General features: G+C 35.5%; 1 protein-coding gene and 1 pseudogene across 2 annotated transcripts; both read left to right on the top strand.

Moving 5' to 3' along the window:
* On the top strand, positions 2,539-8,667 carry TRIM53CP (tripartite motif containing 53C, pseudogene; annotated as a pseudogene).
* Positions 10,535-18,922, top strand: TRIM51G (tripartite motif-containing 51G). 2 transcript variants are annotated; one of them, NM_001396075.1, is made up of 7 exons: positions 10,535-10,681; positions 12,721-13,135; positions 13,419-13,514; positions 15,318-15,548; positions 16,260-16,282; positions 17,238-17,335; positions 18,423-18,922. In NM_001396075.1, the coding sequence occupies exons 2-7, from the start codon at positions 12,725-12,727 to the stop codon at positions 18,920-18,922; spliced, it is 1,359 nt and encodes a 452-aa protein (NP_001383004.1). In that variant the 5' UTR covers positions 10,535-10,681; positions 12,721-12,724. The 2 variants fall into 2 exon arrangements, with proteins under 2 accessions (NP_001383004.1, XP_047282331.1); XM_047426375.1 differs by lacking the exons at positions 10,535-10,681; positions 15,318-15,548 and having other exon boundaries at positions 12,725-13,135.
* The last annotated feature ends 3,700 nt before the right edge of the window (positions 18,923-22,622 follow it).

Below are 22,622 nucleotides of genomic sequence, written 5' to 3'. Positions count from 1 at the left end.
TAAATTAGAGTGTTAAAAATAACTCATTATCTTAAATCTACACAATGATACCATTGTAATTCATATTCTTGCTATAGATTTTATGAATTATTAGGGTACTAATTGTTGTTATTTTGTGTTTTCTATCATTCTTCAATATTGTTTCAAAAAAATTGAAATATCTAGTGTTTGCTGCAACAGATACGTATGCATAATGAATATATGGAGTTGATATTAATACATATATGTACACATAAGTGTGTGTAAATATATGTGTAATGAGTGCATTAATATTAAACAATTGAATTGAGAAGACATTAATGAATGTTAATTCATTCATTCAGCTTTTAGTCATAACTTTAAATTAGTAAGGTAATGATGAGAGATGCAAAATAGTGAAACTGAAAAAAATGAGAAAGCTCCCCAAAATTTCCTAGTTTGGAAATCAAAACACAATTTTCTGACCAAATAAATGTATAAGATATAATTTGATACGTGATGGTGGTTGCCATCTCACTTGAGTCTTAATCTTATTAAACTATGAAAAATTCCTTAAAATGAATTAGATGACCTCTGGAGACTATTTACAATTCTAAGATTTTTCATTTCTTTCACTAAAATTCAGCAATGTTATCAAGTACAGGAGAGTAAAGTAAAGGACTTAAAATTGCCAAACAAAGACCATAGTTTATATATTACTCAGGGCTCTCCAGACAGACAGAATGATAGGATGTGTATGTATATATGTAGAGATACATTCATGAGCCGTTTCAGTCAACCACAAACCACACATGGTGGTCACATAAGATTATAATACCAGTATGTTTAATGTACCTTTTCTGTATTTAAATATGTTCACATGCTAAGTAATTACCACTGTGTTACAATTGCCTACAGTATACAGTACAGAACATGCTGTACAGTTTTGTAGCCTAGGAGCAACAGGCTGTACTGTATACCATAGGTGTGTAGCAGGCTATACCATCTAGGTTTGTGTAAGTATAGTCTATAATGTCAAAACATATAAAACCGCCTGGCTGGGTGCAGTGGCTCACGCCTGTAATCCCAGCACTTTGGGAGGCAGTGGCAGGCAGATCACTTGAGGCCAGGTGTTCAAGTCCAACCTGGCCAATATGGTGAAACCTTGTTTCTACTAAAAAAAGAAAAAAAAATGAAAAAATTTACCGGGTGTAGTGAGGTGTTCCAGTAATCCCAGGTACTCAGGAGGCTGAGACAGGAGACTCGCTTTGACCTTGGAGGCAGAGGTTGCAGTGAGCCAAGATTGCACCACTGCACTCCAGCCTGGGTGATAGAGTGAGACTCCATCTCAAAAAGTAAATAAATAAAACCTCCTTACACATTTCTCAGAACATATATCTGTCATCAAGCTACACATGACTCTACCTGAGAGGGAATTCATCAGGAAAATTCCTTTGCTTGATTATGGAGTCTGAGCAGTTCTAATATAGGCTGCCTTTAAGCTGATGTCCTGAGGATACCGGTATCTGGACTGAGCTCAAGGCTGAAAGCCTCAGAACCAGCTTCAGGAGAAAGAAAGAGGAAATTGCCTTTCCTCTGGCTTTTTCCTTTTATCTGAGCTACCAGCTGATTGAATGGTGCCCACTCACACTGAGGGATGATGGTCCCACTCAGCTCACCAACTCACATGTCTGTCTCCTCTGGAAACACCTTCACAGACTCACCCAGAAACAATGCTGCACCAGTTCCCTAGGTATTGGTTAATCCAGTCAGACTGATATCTAAAATTCACCATCACACCATAGAGATGTAATCACACCTCTCTGAGTTTAACAAAAATCATACTATATGTTAGTTCAGAGTTTGGGTATCCCTAGGAGAAGTTAATTTAATCCACGAGAAAATAAAAAGGCCCAATATCTTTAATTATGTTTTTCTCTTCTATTAAACCAAAATTGATTTAATTGCTGGTTTTTTGTTTATTTGGTTGGTTGATTGGTTTTTCTATTTTGTTTTGGTTTGGTTTTTTATTTTACTTTAATTTTATATTATTTTAAGTCCTAAGATAAATGTGCAGGACATGCAAGCTTGTTACATAGGTAAACATGTGCCATAGTGGTTTGCTGCCCCACTGTTGTGTCTCTAAAAATATGTCGTAGAACCCTCTAGCCATCTTCTCATATTTCCTTGGCCAAGGTAGTTTTTCCCAGTCTTTCCTACTCAGCAGTTACGTGAAAGAAGAATAGGAACAACTACAATTTATTCTAGGTCATGTAGAATCAAACCCAATTTCCAGATCAACATTCAGAAAACGGGAAATTGAATAGATTGGTATTATGTTACATACAGGAAATAAGAGTATAAAGGGTTGTGAGTCATCTAGTCAGTAACATCTACTATAAAGCCGAGAGACTCTCTCTGTGTGAGATTTTTATTTTTGTTACAGAATAAATAGAGTGCTGTGCCTTAATGAATACTGTCAAGAGAAGAAAATAGGGCTATCAGGTATCTCCACATGTTCAGAAACTTTTCATCAACCCAGACCCCAAAATGACATGTTGCTCTTTCTTCCTCAGAAACATGAATTCTGGAATCTTGCAAGAATTCCAGATGGAACTCACCTGCCCCATCTGCATGAAATACTTCATAGACCCGGTCACCGTAGACTGTGGGCACAGCTTTTGCAGGCCCTGTTTCTACTTCAAGTGGCAAGACATCCCAATTTTTACTCAGTGCTTTGAATGCATGAAGACAACATGGCAGAGAAACCTCAAAACTAACATTCATTTGAAGAAGATGGCTTCCCTTGCCAGAAAAGTCAGTCTCTGGCTATTCCTGAGCTCTGAGGAGCAAATGTGTGGCACTCACAGGGAGACAAAGAAGATGTTCTGTGAAGTGGACAAGAGTCTGCTCTGTCTGCTGTGCTCCAGCTCTCAGGAGCACCGGTATCACAGACACCGTCCCGTTGAGTGGGCTGCTGAGGAACACCGGGTAAGTGATGCCTCTGAAGATCTATTTCTATAAAGGACACATGAAATTCCTGTGGGTCTATTTTCTTGGAGATGGAGTAAAGCCAAATCTGAGTCCCTTTAAGCAGCTCACTTTTGGGCTTTCTTAGCTTCAAACCTCTGAGATTTGATGAAGAAGAAGGGAAATAGAAGAAATGCCATTTACTATGGGCTTATTTGTCTCTCATTCTGTGCCCCCTCCCTATGAAACGGTCTGCATGTTACTTTATTGTTTTCACTGGTGCTTCAATTTATGGCTCTTTTGCAGGAGAAGCTTTTAAATAAAATGCAGTCTTTATGGGAAAAAGCTTGTGAAAATCAGAGAAACCTGAACATGGAAACCGCCAGAATCAGCCACTGGAAGGTTAGTCCTGTGCTACTCTACCTTATCCAGGAAATTATGGTGGGCAAATGGGTGACTCTTAAAATAGGAACTTGTTATCAAACTCTAATGTTTCTGGGAGTCAATAAAAGAAAAGAAAACATTGAGAAAAAGTGACCTCATTTCTTATATAGAATAGTACGACTGTTAGATAGGATTTCTAAGAAAACTACTGAAGTCACCCAAAGCATGCTGGTTTGTTTTCATACAAACCTGTAGCTATACACCAACAGATGCAAGAAACTGGGCCATCTCACAGCATTCTATATGTGCTGGTTGGATAAACGCTTGGCACAAGATTCATTTGGCAGTCATAGAAAGCTCAAGTGAACCTCTGAGCCTGGGTCAGCATTAATCTGAATGCTGGTGGACAAGTAGTATTTGGAATTGTATGGAAAATTTGAGGCAGAAAGAGTGACAGGGGAAATCTAGGGCAACCATGAAATTAAGAATCTCAACTAATTAATACTGAATAATACATAACATATGATGAGAAAATTGGTGAGAAAAATTGATTTGTGTCTTGAGGGAGACATGTAAACATGCTCAAAATATGGGAACTAGTAGCTAAATATAAGGAGAACTCTAAGGACTTCAGAGAAATATTAAAAATGATTTTCTATTTGTGGATGTATACTTTGAGGGTATTATAGCTAATATTAGTGTGTTGAAAAGTATTTCATAAGAACCTAGTCTATGTTGAATATTAAATTAGAAAATTTGCTAGTATAGCAGAAAGAAAGCATCTTTGTCCTCACAAATCGTACAATCCAAATGAGACAGAAAAAATGGTCAACATGCAAATATGTGCAATACATGATGTGTTCGAGTGTGGTAGGTTCTTTGTTGGAGAATAATCAAGCAGGGAAGTAGAAAAGGACAATAGAGGCCAGAAACTGGAGATTAGGTCTGATTTTTAAATAGGGTGGTCAGAAAAAAGACTCACTGAAAAATTCAATTTGAACAAAATTTTGAAGAGGAGAGGGAACACGAATGTGTATATGTATATATATATATATGTGGACCATGAATGTGTATATATGTATAAGTGTGTGTGTGTGTGTGTGTGCATAAAATTCTAGTTGGAGAGAACAGCATATGCAGTAATTTTGAGTTTGTGTATATTTGGAGGCCGGAGGAACCACAAAGAAGTCTATGTTTCAGAATGGGATAACTTAGAAAAAGAAACGAAGGAAATGAATTCAGAGAGACAAAGATGGCCAAATCATAAATGCAGCCTCATTAAGATAGGTTTTGCTGGGTGAAATGAATTTAGCTGGACATGCTAGCCTAAGGTCATTTCACATAAAATGAGTTTAAGCAACTTTTGCGTATCTCAGAAATAGAAATAATTATTTCCATTCTAGTAACTATAGCTCTATACTCCAACTCTTAAGCATGAGCTGTTCTTACTTTTCCATAAATATTGGCTGGAATAGCGAAATTCAAATTGTGTTTTTTTTTATTTCCAACTGCCTTAGAAAACACATTATCTTGAATAAATTTAATGTAATTGGTCAGATACAGCTATGTTGATTTTTATACAGAAAGAAAGGAAAGGAACAAAATTTTGTGGATTCTAGGAACTAGAAAGACTGAGGTTTAAATTATTGGATATTCAAGAGACAAAAAGAATCAGTGAGATTTAATAGGAGATGAATAAATACATTTCTCTTTTGACTAACCCATTATCACTGCAGGATTACGTGAATTTAAGGCTAGAAGCAATTAGAGCTGAGTATGAGAAGATGGCTGCATTTCACCATGAAGAAGAAAAACATAATTTGCACATGCTGAAAAAGAAGGGGAAAGATATTTTTCATCAACTTCATTTAAGTAAAGCCAAAATGGCTCATAGGAGGGAGATTTTAAGAGGAATGTATGAGGAGCTGAAGGAAATGTGCCATAAACCAGATGTGGAGCTACTTCAGGTACAAACTCACAATGTAGTTTCAGGTTTTTCACTATTCACATGTGTAAGTATATTCCTCATGGCTGAAATCCATCTCCCAACCTTTATTTCCATGATGTGTTTCCAAAAACACATTCGCATAACTAATGCTACTTTATTGGGAGAGTATAGCCCCGCCAAGGGATTCTACCAGGCCAAAGGTCCCTCCTACTTTATCCACCAGCCACAAAACTCTGTGGAATGGTCAAGGTAACAGCCCCAATAACTATTCCCCATCTAAGTCAATAATATATTTTGGGTTGTTTAACATGTATAAAATAGTGAGTGATTCATTTACATTTAGGATAATTTGAGGACATGGCAAGATCAGAAGTTTTGGGAATCTAGGCTCACATTAATATTATTTTGAGGTCCACTCATTTGGGTAATAGGTTCTGGGAAAGATGACTGAGTAGGTTATTTGAAGTTACCACAGAGCATAGACTCTCTGGGCCTCTTCTCCCTTCACTTCTGGAGAGAATGTCTTCAAGACTCAGACTTTACCAGGACATTAATTAATGACAAAATGACTAACTGGGTTTTTCATTACAGAAGAAATAGAAAATGCTTTCCAGATGGGAGGGAAATAATATCTTCAGAAACTGACTCCAAATTTCACACTGAACTTAGTGAAAGATGCATCTTGTAAAATGCCCTAAGTATTTCTATTTTTTTTTACAGGGTTTTGGAGACATATTACAGAGGTGAGTGTTTACCTAGATTTTAGCATACATTCTTTCAGTTTCCACGAATATCAAAGCAGGCTCTACCAAAGTCATGGCATAAATGAGTAAGATATTGATACTACCTTTTTTTTTGCATCTGCTTTCACTCTTACACCAGAAAAGACAAGAACACTAAATAAATAAATAAATAGATAAATAAATAGTGAAATTAAAAAAATGTTTATTCCTGATTTTGTTTTATTGCTTAAAAGCCTGCATAGGTGAAAGATAAAGTTTTGTTTTGTGGATGGTGAGAAAGTCACCAGAGGAAGCAGGAGAGAAGTGGGGGAAGTATTTTAGCAGTCAAAAAGTTGATGATTTATTGTTCATACCTATATACAAATCAGTTAACAGTCCTGAAAAATAGGTTGAAAAAACTGTGGAGTGTTAGAACTGTATAAGTCTCTAGGGAAGCTTGTTTCTAAAAGGCAGGTCTAGCTGCCTGGAACAAGTTTCACATTCTTTATCTTGAAAAGGAAGCAGCAGATGCAGCAGTCTTCCCAAAACCCCGCTATTTCAGACAAAGATGTCAGGGGAGTCTGCCAAGAAGTGGAACTCAGAATTTCATTTCCAAATATTCTCAAGGCCATAAGGCTAAGGAACCTTACACATGTGGGGCAGAAAAAAAGAAAGATCAGACGGAATTCTGACTCAGGCTCTCCCACTATGCTTTAAAATTGGGAAACTATAAATAGAAATTAATTCCAAAAAAGAAGTAATAATTTTTGAATAATCAAATTTGTGGATTCAGAGGATTCTCATGAGCTGTCTTTTAAATAGAAATAGTGATTTTTATTTATTTTATGGCTGTAGATGTTGTAACTGCAGGTTTTTCCTTGCAGGAGTGAGTCCGTGCTGTTGCACATGCCCCAGCCTCTGAATCTAGAGCTCAGTGCAGGGCCCATCACTGGACTGAGGGACAGGCTCATCTAATTCTGAGGTAAGTCTCCACCCATAGGCAGCACTCCCACTATCTAAATATTGTTATTGTTAGGATCCCATAGGTAATATTTCACCCATTATCAAATATTTTACTTCTTTATAGACATAAGCGAACAACATAATCATGCAACCCTTTTGTATCTGTGTCTATATAGTCAGATTTATAGCATTAAGTTTGAAAGATAGTGAAAAACAAATACGTTATGGCCTCATATGTACTGAGTAATGTAATGGGAAAGAGGAGTAGGGTAGCAAATTTAAAAAAGGAGCAAATGGAACAATGCTCAGAATGAAGGTGAGTTATTTAATGTTAAATACAAAATTTTACGTTTCCTTAGTGTATTCATTTGAACAGCTAAGAACTGTTCTTTTGAGGATTATCGTTTACTGGGGATTGCTGGGGGGTTTTAATTTTTTAAATGGATACGTATCATGTATTGCAAAAAAAATTAGTTAATGGGTAAACATAAAAAGAAGAAATCATTTTGTGAATACAAGTAAAATTACAAACAAAGAGAAGTTCAGTTTAATTGCAATATGAAAAGCTACAGGTTAAGCTTAAAATCCAGCTTCAGCCCCAAGCTAGCATGGAGGACCACAGAGAGACTGGTAAAAGATTTTACAGAAATCTGCTTTAAATGGTCACTTATGACATGTACTTATGGATTTTTATCCAGTCATCAACAGCAGTTCTTGAGTAACTGAAAATCTTCACATTCTTTCCAAAATGATAGCACTAGTTTTTAAGAATAAGAAACATTTCTAAATAATGATCTTGATAACAACATAGTATTTAGGGCATATAATGTGTAAATTTTGCTTCAAAAATTGGATTGAAAGAAGTTGGTCTTACATTTGGCTCTCAATATATAAGTTTTCAAAACATTTTTAATACCTGTGGTTAGTGTTTTGTTTGTCTTGTAGTTAAAATTAATCATCTCTATGCTTTATTAGAAGTTACAAGCAAAATTGTCCTTGTGACTTTACTTTTCCTGGTAAATTAACTTCTTGATAGAACAATTTTTGCTTATTGACACATGTCTATGTATGTTTTGTTTCTCTTTTATTTATTTATTTATTTTTGCAGTGGATATTACTCTGAATAATGATGAGCCAACAGTCGTATCTTTTGATGTGGAGATTTGAGAAGCATGTGTATTGGATGTGACCGTCAAAATCCACCCCATATCACTGCAACACCTACAAGTTTTCTTGCATGGGGTGCTCAGACTTTCACCTCCAGCAAATATTACTGGGATGTCCATGTGGGGGACACTTGGAATTGGGCTTTTGGTGTCTGTAATAAGTATTGGAAAGGGAAGAATCAGAATGGCAATATATATGGAGAGGAGGGACTCTTTAGTCTTGGATGTGTCAAGAATGACATTCAGTGCAGTCCCTTTACCACCTCCCCACTTACACTGCAATATATCCCAAGACCTACCAGCCTCATAGGATTATTCCTGGATTGTGAAGCTAGAACTGTGAGCTTCGTTGATGTTAATCAAAGCTGCCTTATATACACGATCCCTAATTGCTCCTTCTCGCCTCCTGTCAGGCCTATCTTTCGGTGTGTTCACCTCTGACCAGAGATAAATCAGAAATATGTTCATCTGCTGTGAGAACCCGTTTACTCCAGGAAGCCCTCTTCCTTGTGCCTTATCAAACAGGACAAATAGGTTCTGTTTTATGTCTTGAATTGCCTCCTAATGTTATTAAAACTCAGTTATTGTGTTACTATTAAAAATGGTAAAAACACTAAAAGTATATGTATTGGTTCTTTATTAATTTTTGAAAAATCATTATTCATGATCATGGCATAAAATATATTTTTTTTTTTTTTGTTTATTTCTGACTGCTACTGAGTGAAATAATAGATGACAGACATGTCTGAATGGAGTTAAAATCAATGGAAGAGAGTCGGGATCTTTTGCTTCATGCAAAAGCTTGGAGTGAAGTCTTAATGATAATTGGGAAATGTTTTTCTTTCTCTTTACCTAACTATATTGCACTTATCCATCACATTTCATTTTACTAATCTATCCTTTGAGTTAATATTATTTAACCTTCCATGCCGGGCTTCATTTTGGAATTCTCACCACTTATATAAATAATCCCACATTATTAGTGTGCTCTTCTACATTGAAATACACAAGGTGGTCAGAACAATGCTGGATTAATTGAATTTCAAAAAATAACTAAATATTGATTCCTACCTCAAAACACACACAGTCATTTCCAAATAGATTCAAGTCCTGAAGGTAAGGGGAACATGATAAAATATTCTCATAAGGATTTCTTAACCAGGACAAAAATTAACAATTAAAAAAATTAGTTGGTTTATATTAATGATGACTTCTGTGTTTCAAAAAACATGACACAAGAATTGAAATGCAAACCATTAGTGGAGAAAGATATTCACCCAAACATATATAAAATAAAATACAATACATGTGCATGATTAATACTTAAAATGTATTTTATTTTTCCAGATTCTTCCAGAGTGGCATAGAATAAACCTAGATGGCAGAGTCAATGATGAGATTAGCTGTGGAAATGGGAAACCGTTTTTTGGAGGACAGTAGTAATGCTGTGAACTTGTGAAAACAACCAAGTATTCAGTAGCAACTAAAATGTGTCTCCATAAGATTATTTTACAGATGCGTATCTGAAATCTGAAATTTGGGAGAACATTCTACTAATGTTCTCTAGTAAAAAAATACAGCTGGAAGGAAGAAGGGAGGGAAGATGAAGGAGAGAGAAATTGAATGCATTTGAGAGAAAATGCTATTTAGACTAAAATAGAATACTGCAGATACCACAACAAAGTGGTTAAGGTGTGTCTTATGGAGCAGAAATGGCAGAAAATACCACAGTAAAGAGATTTACAATTGGATTGTTAGTTCTGGCTTTTATTCTGTCAGTGTTTTGGCTTCTAAACACATCAGTAATCTCCTTTGATCCATGTGCTAATTAACAACCAACACTCTGCCCCCTCTCCCAGATTCTTTCATTGTTTTAAACCTAATCTAATTCTAATCCAGCTGGTCATTGTGACACATGTAATCAACTAAGAATTTAAAAAATATTTTTGATGAATAAATGAAAAATTAGCTAGGTCCAATGGCATAAACCTATAGTCTTTTTTACTTTGAAAGCTGAAGTGGGAGGATTACTTGAGCTCTGGAATTCAATGCTGCGGGGAGCTAAGAGTGTGCCACTGCACTCCAGAGGGTGAAACTTTCTTTGGTATAAATAAATAAATGTGCACTTAGAGGAATGCTTGTGCCTTGGAAGAAACCCAAGAAATAGTATTAATTTCAGTTAATTTCTAGCATATGTTTACTCTAATAAGATTGATGATAGATATGCCTCATTCAGGCAGTGGTTTTTACAATGATAGTGTGAGGCTAATTTAATCAGTGATGAAAAGGTGTGTACTAAATATTGCATAAACCTAATCATCTCTGTCTCCACCATTCTTAATACCCTAAATATCACTAAAGAGGTGGGTGTGGTCTTCAAAGATTCATATAAAAGGATGTAGAAGAGACAAGCTCATATTTCTCCAGAGGAGGACAGCACTTAGAGTTAACTGCATTCAGGTGACCTTGGAAAGTCAACTGTGCAGGGAATGAACTCCTGATCTTGGGGAATACTTAAAAGAATTTTTTCTTGGAAGAATTACTGCAGGAAACATTCATAGAACCTTGGGGTGAGTGCAACTTATATGGAGAAAATTATTTCTCTCTTCCTTTAAAAGAGTAAATTACAGTGATAAAAATATCTAACTGTCTAAACTTACTTAATGATCTTATTTGTAACTCATATTATTGCTATTCATTTTATGACATGAGGTTATTAATTGTTGTCATTTTGTGTGTTCCAAAAGTTTTTAATATATTTTTGAAAAATTTTAGATATCTAGTGTTTGCTGCAATAGATTTGTATGCATCATGGATATATGGAATTCACATTAAAACCTATATATGTGTACTGCATGTACTAATATTGGTACAGTTAAGTAAAAAAGGATAATTATTGAATACTGTAAATGTGCTTTCATAACATTAAGCTTTTAGACATGATTTTAAGTTACTGAGGCAATGATGAGTTAAAAATGGTGATACTAAAGGAAATAAGAATGCTCTCCAAAATGCCCTAGCTTAGAAATCAAAACACAATTGTTTAGCAGATAACTGTATAAGGAATGATTTGATACTTGATAGTAGTTGTCATTTTAATTGAGGCTTACCTCAGATGAAACTATGAAAAATTCCTTGAAATGGCTCAGATGACCTCTGAAAAATATTTGCAATTCTTAAATTTTCACTTTTGGTACTTAAATTCAGCAGTGTTTAGTAAAAGAGAGTCAGGTAAAGGACTTCAAACTGCCAAGGGAAAGATTCCAGTTTGTATTGGTCAGGGTTCTCCAGAGAGACAGAACCATAGGATGTGTACATAACTATATATATATATATATATATATATATATATGTATATATACCAAAAATACTTACAACTCTGGTACAATTGCCTATCGTATACCATACAGGTTTGTAGCCTAGGAACAATATGCTATACTGTATACCATAGGTGTGTAGTAGGCTATACCATCTAGGTTTGTGTAAGTATACCCTATGATGTTCAAACAATAACGAGACTGTCTAATGCGTCCCTCGGATCATATATCTGTCCTCACTCTACACATGACACTGTACAGGAGAGGAAGTCCACTAGGAGAATTTGTTCCCTTGATTATGGAGTCTGAGAAGTTGAACACAGGCTGTCATTAAGCTAGTGTCCTGGAGATACCAATATCCTGGCTGAGTTAGAATCAGCTTCAGGAGAAAAAGAGGAAACTGCCTTCTCTCTGCCCTTTATCTTCAGTCTGAGCTACCAGCTGATTGGATAGTGTCCACCCACATTGAGGGTTGCTGTTCCCCACTCAGCTCACCAACTTACATGTCTCTCTGCAAACACCTTCACAGACTCACCCAGAAATAATGCTATACCAATTCTCCATGTATTATTTAATCCAGTCAAGTCAACACCTATAATTAACTGTAATACCACAGTAATATAATTATATATATTTCAGTTTTTAAAAAACTGACTATATGTCAGTTCATAGTTTGAGTAGCCCAAAGAAGAAGTTAATTTAAGCCATAAGAAAAACCCAATATTTTTCATTATTTATTTTATCTCCTAGTGAGCCTAGACTGGTTTAATTGTTGTCTTTTTGTTTATCTGGTCGGTTGGTTTGTTCTGGGGTTGTTTTTGTTTTAAAGAGCCGGCTTCTGGGTCCCTTTCTCTAAAAATATGTCATAGCACCCTCTGACCATCTTCTCATGTTTTGTTACCCAGTGTAGGTTTTCTACACCTCTCCCACAGTCATTCAGTAGTTATTTGATAGAGAAATAGGGACAAGCATGTTTTATGCTAGACCACTTAAGATTAAAACCCGAGTTTCATATCGACATCCAGGGAATAGGTTTTTGAACAGATTTGCATTATGTTATGGGCAGGAACTAGGAGTAGAAGAGGTTGTGAGTCATCCAGTCAGTAGTGTCTGCTATAAAGCCTTAAGACTCTCTTTGTGTATGAATTTTTCATTTTTGTTACAGAGGAAATAGTTTGTTCCGCTTTAATGAGCACTGTCAAGAGGAAAATATAGCTATCACATATGGTGATATGTTCACAGATTTTCACCAACCCAGAACCCAAAATGACATGCTGCTCTTTCTTCTTCAGAAACATGAATTCTGGAATCTTGCAAGTCTTCCAGAGGGAACTCATCTGTCCCATCTGCATGAACTACTTCATAGACCCAGTCACCATAGACTGTGGGCACAGCTTTTGCCGGCCCTGTTTCTACCTCAACTGGCAAGACATGGCAGTTCTTGCTCAGTGCTCTAAATGCAAGAAGACAACACGGCAGAGAAACCTCAAAACTAACATTTGTTTGAAGAACATGGCTTCCATTGCCAGAAAAGCCAGCCTCCGGCAATTCCTTAGCTCTGAGGAGCAAATATGTGGGACGCACAGAGAGACAAAGGAGATGTTCTGTGAAGTGGACAAGAGCCTGCTCTGTTTGCTGTGCTCCAACTCTCAGGAGCACCGGAATCACAGACACTGTCCCACTGAGTGGGCTGCTGAGGAACGCCGGGTAAGTGATGCCTCTGAAGATCTATTTCTATACAGGACACATGGAATTCTTGTCAGCCTATTTCCTTCGAGATTGGATGATGCCATCTCTGTGCCCCCTTAAACATGTCTGTTATGAGCTTCCTTGACTTCACACCTCTCAGATTTGACAGACATGAGGAGAAACAAAGCAAACTCTATTTTCTGTGGGCTAATTTGTCTCTCATTTTGGGTCCTTCGTATATCAGAGTGTGAATGATACTTTATTGTCTTCACTTGTGCTTCAATTCATGGCTCTTTTGCAGGAGGAGCTCCTAAGAAAAATGCAGTCTTTATGGAGAAAAATGTGTGAAAATCACAGAAACCTGAATATGGCAACCAACAGAATCAGATGCTGGAAGGTTAGTAGTGTGTTACTCTACCTTCTCCAGGAACTTATGGTGAACAAATGGGTGACTCTTAAAATAGGAACTTGATCTCAACCCATAATGTTTCTGGAAATCAACAAACAAGGAAAAAACACTTGAGAAAAAAACACCCTAATTTTTTATATAAGTTAGTGTGACTCTTTGGTAGGATTTCTAATCAGACCACAGATGTTACCCAAGCATGCTCATCTGTTTCCATACAAACCTATAGCAATACTCCAACAAATACAAGAAACTGGGCCATTTCACACTGTTCCCAGTGGGCTGCCTGGATAAATTCTGGACACATGTGTTATTTGTCAGTCATGGAAATTTCAGGTGACTCTTCTAAGGCTGAGTCAGCATGAAATTGAATGCTGGTGGGCAAGTATATTGAAATGTGAGCTACATTTCAGGCAGAAGGAGCAAGAGTGCAACCTTAGGGAAAGCATGAAATTAAATATCAGAACTAATTAATATTGAATCAGTCATAACACATATAAAGGGAAAAGTGGTGAGAAATGTAGACTTGTGTCTTGATGAAGACATAAATATGTGAGAAATATGGGAACTAGTATTTTATATAAGGAGAACTCTAAGGACTTGAGAAGAATTCTAGAAATGATTTTCTCTTTGTGGATGTTTATATTGAGGGTATGATATCTAATATTAATTCATTAATTTATTGTAATATTCATTGAAAGATATTTTGTGAGTACCTAGTCTAGGTCAAATATCAACTTAGAAAATTAAGGAGTAAAGAAGAAAGAAAACACAAATCTTGCAATTGAAATGAGAAAAGCAAATGGCCACCGTGCAGATATGTGATGTATATGATGTGTTAGAGTGTAGTAGTGTCTTTGGAGAATAATCAAGCAGGAAGTTAGAAAAGGAGCACAGAGTCCAGGGACTGGGGATGAGGGTTTGAGTTTTAAATAGGGTGGTCAGACAAAAGGCTCATGGAAAAATTCACAGAGAAGCAAAACCTTGATCAGGAGCAAATATATATATCCTCCTGTTTGCCTTCCTCTTCCTCATAAATATATGAATATATATGTGTATCTGGGTGTCAGTGTATATATATTATATATATATATGGATATATATGAGGAATATATATGTACACACAGATACATGTATATATTCCTCAAATATCCATATATACCTATATTTGAGAAATATATATGAGTACATATATGAGAAATATGTATATATACATGAAAATAATTCTAGTTATAGAAAACAGCATGTGCAGTAATATTTAATTTGCATTTATTTGGGGGTTTGAGGAACCACAAAGATGTCCATGTAGCCGATTAGGGTGAGTTTGGAAGAGAATAAATGAAACCTTTTTAGAATATGTTATGCTGGGTGAAATGCATTGAGTTGACAATGCTAGTCTGTGGTCATGTCATCATTTGTCATATAATGGTTTTACATAACTTGCCCCAATTCTCCAAAATAGAAATAATGGTTTCTTACCTAGTCAGCATAACTTGATATTTTGATTCTTAAGAAAAAACTGTGTTTTCTTTCTATAAATGTGGTGTGGAAGAGAGAAATCCATTTTTATACAACTATCTTAGAAAACATTTTATCATTAATCAAGTAAATATAACTGGGCAGAAACAACTATGTTGATATTAATACAGAAATGAAAGGAATAAAATTTTGTGGAATCTGAGAATTGACAAGATCGAGGATTAAAATATTGGGTGTTCAGAATGCTAAGAGGAATCAGTGAAATTCAAGAGAAGATGGATAAAACATTTCTATTTTGACTAATTGTCACTGCAGGATTATGTGAGTTTAAGGATAGAAGCAATCAGAGCTGAATATCATAAGATGGTTGCATTTTTCCATGAAGAAGAGCAACGTCACTTGGAGAGGCTGCAAAAGGAGGGCGAGGACATTTTTCAGCAACTCAATGAAAGCAAAGCCAGAATGGAACATTCCAGGGAGCTTTTAAGAGGAATGTATGAGGATCTGAGGCAAATGTGCCATAAAGCAGTTGTGGAGCTATTCCAGGTACGGACTGACCATGGGTTATCATGATGTTGAAGATTCAAGTGGATGGGTGTTTTACCTCTCTCCTGAAATCCGTCTCCCCCTTTACTTCCATGATTTGTTTCCAAAAACACGATTCTATAACTAATGCTACTTGGTTGGGAGGGTACAGCCTCTCCTAGTGATTCTACCAGACCGAAGGTCCCTCCTACTTTATCCACCAGCAACAAAACTATGTGGAATGGCCAAGGTAACAGACATCCCCAAGAAATATTTCTCATCAAAAGTCAGTGATATATTTAGGATTTTTGAAAGTAGATAAAATGAGAAGTGATTCATTGGCATTTAGGCTAATTTGGAGACATGGCATGATGGAGAAGTTGGGGAATCTAGGATCACACTAATATTATGTTGGGGTCCACTCATTTTGGTAACAGGGCTTAGGGAAGATGACTGAGTAGCTTCTTCATGGTTACAGCAGAGCATAGACTCTGTGGGCCTCCTCTCCCTTCACTTGTAAAAAGAATGTCTTCAAAACTTAGACTTTATCAGGACATAAATTCATGACATATGATAGACTGGGATTTTCATGAGAAAAGAAACAGAAAATGCTTTCCAGGAGGGAACACTGTAGGAAAATAATATCTTCAGAAACTGTCTCCATATCACACAATGAACTTAGTTGAAGATGCATCTTGTGGAAAGCACTAAGCCTTTCTATTTTTTTTACAGTCTTTTGGAGACATATTACAAAGGTGAGTACATACCAAGATTTTAGCAGATTCTTTCAGTTTCCACAAATATCAAGCAGGAACTTTGATATTGAAGGTATAAGTGATTCAGATATTGATACTACCTTGTGCTGGTTGTACTTTCTCCATCCCCCACCCCATGTAGTCATCTATTTTGTTGCCATACTCAGTGATTTTATTAAGCAGTTCAATGAAAGTTCTGCAAAACCAAAAATAAATAAATAAATAAATAAATAAATAAAAAAGAAAGAGAACAAAAAATAAATAAATGAAAGAAATAAAGGAAGTGAGCATCTCTATTCCTAATTTCCTTTTTATTGCTCAAAAGCCTTCATATTTGCAAGAGAAAATATTGCATTTACTACATGGCTACAAAGTAAACCAGGGGAAGCCAGAGAGAAAAGGGGAAAGTATTTTAGCAGTGAAAAGTGTTGATGATTTCTAGTTTATATTTAAATATATAATTCTGAAAAATAGATGAAACAAACTATTTGGAATGTTTGAACCGTGTAGGCCTCCAGAGAACCTCAACTATTAAAGGCAGATCTCCCTGCCTGGAGCACGTTTCAACACCCTGGCCTTGAGAAGGAAGCAACAGATGCAGCAGTCTTAAAAATAACCCCACTTTTCCAGACAGTAATTTCAGGAATTTCTGGTGAGGTCTGGAATCCAGAATTTCATTTTTGAATATTCTCCCAGTCTTAAGACTAATGATCCTTACTAATTTGGAGCAATACGAAGAAAGATCCGAATAAATTCTCAGTCAGATAGACTTTTCCATCGTGCTTGAAAATGAGGAACTGTGAATAAGAATGAATTTGAAAAAGAAAATGATAATTTTGGAATTAGCAAATGTGTGGGTTAAAGGGATTCTCATGAAATGTCTTTTAAATAAAGGTGGTGATTCTTATGTATTTTTTTGGCTGTTGATATGGTAACTCTATCTTTCTCCTTGCAGGTATGAGTCCCTGCTGCTGCAAGTGTCTGAGCCTGTGAATCCAGAGTTCAGTGCAGGGCCCATCATTGGACTGATGGACAGGCTCAAGGGATTCAGAGGTGAGTGTCAGCCCATTGGCAAAATTCCCACAATGTATTACTTCTTGTTAGAATCATGGGGGTAATATTTTACCCTTCGTCAAATCTTTATTTCATTTCAGCAGGAAGTGAACCATATGACGATACAACACTTTTATATCTGTGTTTCTGTTTATAGTCCAATTTATAACATGAAGAGTAAAACATAGTGAAAAACAAATATATTCTGGGCTCACATGTATAGAGTTATATATTGGGTAAATGTAATGACATAAGAAATAAAAAATTGAATAAATGGAAAAATGCTCAGAAGGAAGCTTAATAATCCAAGGTTACATAAAAATTTTACATTGCTTTACTGTATTTCATTTGAATTGTTAAAAACATTTCATTGGGGAATAGAGTTCACTGCAGTTTGTTGGAGTATTAGTATTTTCTTACAATAAATATATATTATTGATGTAAAATTTTGACTTAATATATAAAAAGAAAAAATATTTTGTAAATAGGAAGTAAAAATGGAAATGATAATTTCAGTTTAGTTACAACATGAAGAGCTACGTGTAAAATTTAAAGTTCAGTTTCAGTCTAGAGCTAGCAGGGATGTCTGCAGAGTGACTAGTGAAAGATTTTGCAAAAATCTGCCTTAAGTTACCACTTATAATTTGAACATGTGGACTTTTATCCAGTTATCTAGAGCAGTGCTTGAGTAAGCTAAAATCTTCCCATTCTTGCCAAAATTATATCACTAGTATGTAAGAACAAGAAATATTTTAATAATAATTACCTTGATAGCTAAAGGGCATTCAGGGCATATAATATTTCACTTTTACATTGGAGATGGGATTAAAACAGGCTGGTCTTTTATTCGACTCTCAGTTTTTAAGTTTTCAATAAATTTTCAATGTCTGTTTTTAGGGTATTGTTTTTTCCTATAGAGAATATTAATCATCCTTATACTTTCTTAAATGTTGTAATCAAAATTCTCCTGTCCTTGTAACTTCAAATTTCTTGGCAAAGTAAATTCTTGGTAGAACAACTTTTCCCTCAAGAATTCTAATTTCTGTTAATTACATGTATCTATACTTTTTTAAAATTATTTTTGCAGTTTATCTTACTCTGCAGCATGCAAGAGCCAGTAGTCATATCTTCCTGCATGGAGATTTGAGAAGCATGAAGGTTGGATGTGACCCTCAACATGATCCCAATATCACTGATAAATCTGAATGTTTTCTTCAATGGGGGGCTGATTTTTTCATATCTGGCAAATTTTATTGGGAGTTTAACATGGGGCACTCTTGGAATTGGGCTTTTGGTGTCTGTAACAATTATTGGAAAGAGAAGAGACAGAATGACATGATAGATGGAGAGGTGGGACTCTTTCTTCTTGGATGTGTTAAGGAGGACACTCACTGCAGTCTCTTTACCACCTCCCCACTTGTAATGCAATATGTTCCAAGACCTACAGACACAGTAGGATTATTCCTGGATTGTGAAGGTAGGACCGTGAGCTTTGTTGATGTGGATAGAAGTTCCCTGATATACACCATCCCTAATTGCTCCTTCTCACCTCCTCTCTGGCCTATCATTTGCTGTAGTCACTTCTGACCAGAGAAAAGTCAGAAATGTGTCTATATGCTCTGGAAACCTGTTTATCCCCAAAAGCCCTCTTTTTTGCACCTCATCAAATGGGACAAATAAGTTATATTTAATGTCTTTATTTGCATTCTAATGTCATCAAAACTCATTTATAGTGTTTCTATTAAATATGGTGGAAACACTAAAACTGTGTGTATTGGTTCCTTTTTTAATTATTTTTGGAAAATCATTACCCATGATGTATGGCATAGAATATATTCTCTGCTTTTAAATTATTTCTGAACGTCACAAAGTAAAATAATAGATGACAAAGTTGTCTAAATGAAATTAAAATCAATGGAAGAAAGTAGAGATCTTGGGCTTCATGAAAAATCTTGGAGTAAAACGACTCAATGATAACCTGGAAATATTTTCTTTCTCTTCATCTAACAATATTATACTTATCCATGTGTTTTATTTATGAATCTATACTTTGAGGTAATCTTATTTGACCTCCTATGCTGGGCTTATCTTTGTAAATCTCATCTTATATACAAATGCTCATGCATTATTATAGTGCTGTTAATAATGTGCTGTTAATAATAATTATAGTGATGTTAATGATGGAGAACATATATAAATAAAATACAATACATGTGCATGATGAATACTTAAAATGTATTTTAAGTATTTTCCAGATTCTTCCAGAGTGGCCTAGAATAAACTTGGATGGCAGAGTCAATGATGAGATTAGCTGTGGAAATGGGAAACCGTTTTTTGGAGGACAGTAGTAATGCTGTGAACTTGTGAAAACAACCAAGTATTCAGTAGCAACTATAATGTGTCTCCATAACGTTATTTTACAGATGCGCATCTGAAATCTGAAATTTGGGAGAACATACTACTAGTGTTCGCTAGTGAGAAAATACAGCTGGAAGGAAGAAGGGAGGGAAGACGAAGGAGAGAGAAACAGAACGCATTTGAGAGAAAATGCTATTTAGACTAAAATAGAATACTGCAGATAGCACGACAAAGTGGTTAAAGTGTGTCTTATGGAGCAGAAATGGCAAAAAATCCCACAGTAAAGAGATTTACAACTGGATTGTTAGTTCTGGCTTTTATCCTGTTAATGTTGTGGCTTCTAAATACATCAGTGTTCTCCTTTGATCCATGTGCTAATTAATAACCAACACTCTGTCCCCTCTCCCAGATTCTTTCATCATTTTAAACCTAATCTAATTCTAATCCAGCTGTTCACGGTAACAAATGCAATCATCTAAGAATTTAAAAAAGATTTTTGATGAACTAGTGAATATACCTCATTCTCAACAAAAATACTGTTTGAGAGGAAAAGTTGATGGTATTTGCCACCATTTAAGTGCATCCACACATGCAGACATATACATATATATGTATATGTTTATGTATCTGAGTTAATTGCATTAATTAGAGTGGCTACCTGGATTAGGATTAAGCTGGGCTTTGCTGATGAAAGAATTCGGAATGTTGTTTGGTTACCCTGTAATACCTATATGAATATATTAACCCTGTAATGTTACTACTGCCAAAGCTCCCTTAGATGTAATCAAGGATGATTGTATAGGGATGTATATTGTTGCACTCTTTCCAATCATGAAAGAGAGAAAAATAAATATACTGTAATGTGGAAATTGTTTAGAAAATTAGAATGCATTTTACTAAACCCTGTAAAAACCAACACCATCTATATGTGTTAATATATTGATACTAACAGATTTTCCTTTATCTCTTACGTGACTATAATTCCTATTTTTCGCTAGTATTTTTATTATGGACAGACACAGTATTTTATTATGGATGGATATAGAAACAAAAATAATTCCCTCTACAGAGGGTATAAAAATTATATATCATCATATATATTATATATAAAATGTATTTTGTATTATAGGTAAATATTTATATATTTATATTATATATAAAATATATAAAATATATAATATACAAATATTTATATATTTGTATTTTATATAATATATATTATATATAATATAAAAATTATATATATATATATAATATAGGGACTCGATTAGTTTCTGCTAGTGTGAAGACAAGTCATATCATGTCTAGGGGCCATGATGATAGGAGCAGTCAGAGGATTTCTTGCATTGTGATGAGTGCATATATGTTAAACGAGCCACTTATCAGTAGAATTGATAGCAGGATAACGGCTAGGGTTACTTCATATGAAATTGTTTGGGCTACAGTTTGTAATGCGCCAAATAGTGCATAATTTGAATTTAATTGCTCTTCTTGATCATAGAATAGAGTAGACGGCTAGGCTTGATACGGTTAGTAAAAATAGGAGGCCTATATTAAAATTAATTAGAGGATCTGGTATAGGGATGGGGGTTCACAATAGGAGAGCGAAAGAAAGGGCCAGGGTTGGAGCAATAATATAAAGGTTAATAGTAGATGTTGAGGGCCATAGGGGTTCTTTGCTGAAAAGTGTTATTGTGTCAGTGAAAGGTTGAAGCAGTCCCGAAGGGCTTACAATGTTAGGCCCTTTGTGTAGTTGTATGTAGCCTGAGTTTTTGTTGAATGAGTGATTTAAAATCAATACTGATAATAATGATAATTATTACTGAATAGTTATATTAATGATAACAATAAAATTATTAATATTAATTATTAGTAATGACTGATATTAACAATTGATACTGATCTTATTAATTAGAAAACAATAATATTAGGTACCAATAATTAATATTAATATTAATAATATGAAAACTTTTTATTAGCAATTATTTCTCACTATTGATGTTGGTAATTAATATTAATGTTAATCATAAATAAGTAATAATTAATAATAATATTACTCCTAATACCGCAGTGCGTGTACACCCACCTATGATTTTGTTCCTAATGTCCAGGGAGGGAGACAGCATGGTATTACTTTCAATATTGCAGTAGGTGTACACCCACCCGGTGATATTGATCCAAATATCCAGGGGGTAGAGTATGACGTAACTCCCAATATAGCAGTGGGTGTACATCCACCCGGTGATATTGCTCCTAATATTCGCGGAAGAAGAGAATGATATTACTCCCAGTATCGCAGGGAGTGTACACCCGTTCTGTGATATTGTTCCTAATATCCGGAGGGGGAGAGGGTGATATTACTCCCAATGTCGCAGGCTATGTACACCCACCCTGTGATATTGTTGCTAATAATATCCAGGAAGGGAGAGGATGATATGATTCCCCATACAGCAGCAGCTGAACACCCACTCTGGGATATTATTCCTAATATCCATGGAAGGTAGAGGCTGATATTACTCCCAAAATCGCAGGGGGTGTACATCCATCCTGTGATACTGTTTTTAATATTCAAAGGCGGAGAAGTTGATATTACTCCCAATATCACAGAAAGTGTACAAACCCGTGTGATATTATTTCTACTTCCAGAAGAAGAGAAGATGATATTACTCCCCATATCGCAGGAGGTGTACGCCCACTCTGTGATATTTTTCCTAATATGCAGGGCGTGAGAGGATAATATTATTGTTAATAGTGCAGGATGTGTACAGCCCCCCTGTGATATTGTCCTTAATATTCCAAGGCGAAGAGGATATTACTGCCAATATCGCAGAAAGTGTACACCACCCCAGTGATATTGTTCCCATGATCCAGGAGAGAAGAGGATGGTATTACTTTCAGTATCGCATGGGGTGGACACGCCCCCAGTGAC

This window comes from Homo sapiens, chromosome 11 (genome assembly GCF_000001405.40).
Source record: "Homo sapiens chromosome 11, GRCh38.p14 Primary Assembly".
In the NCBI taxonomy this organism is placed as follows: Eukaryota; Metazoa; Chordata; class Mammalia; order Primates; family Hominidae; genus Homo; species Homo sapiens.
The sequence above is the reverse complement of the archived record's forward strand: the minus strand, read 5'-3'. Positions and strand labels throughout refer to the sequence as shown.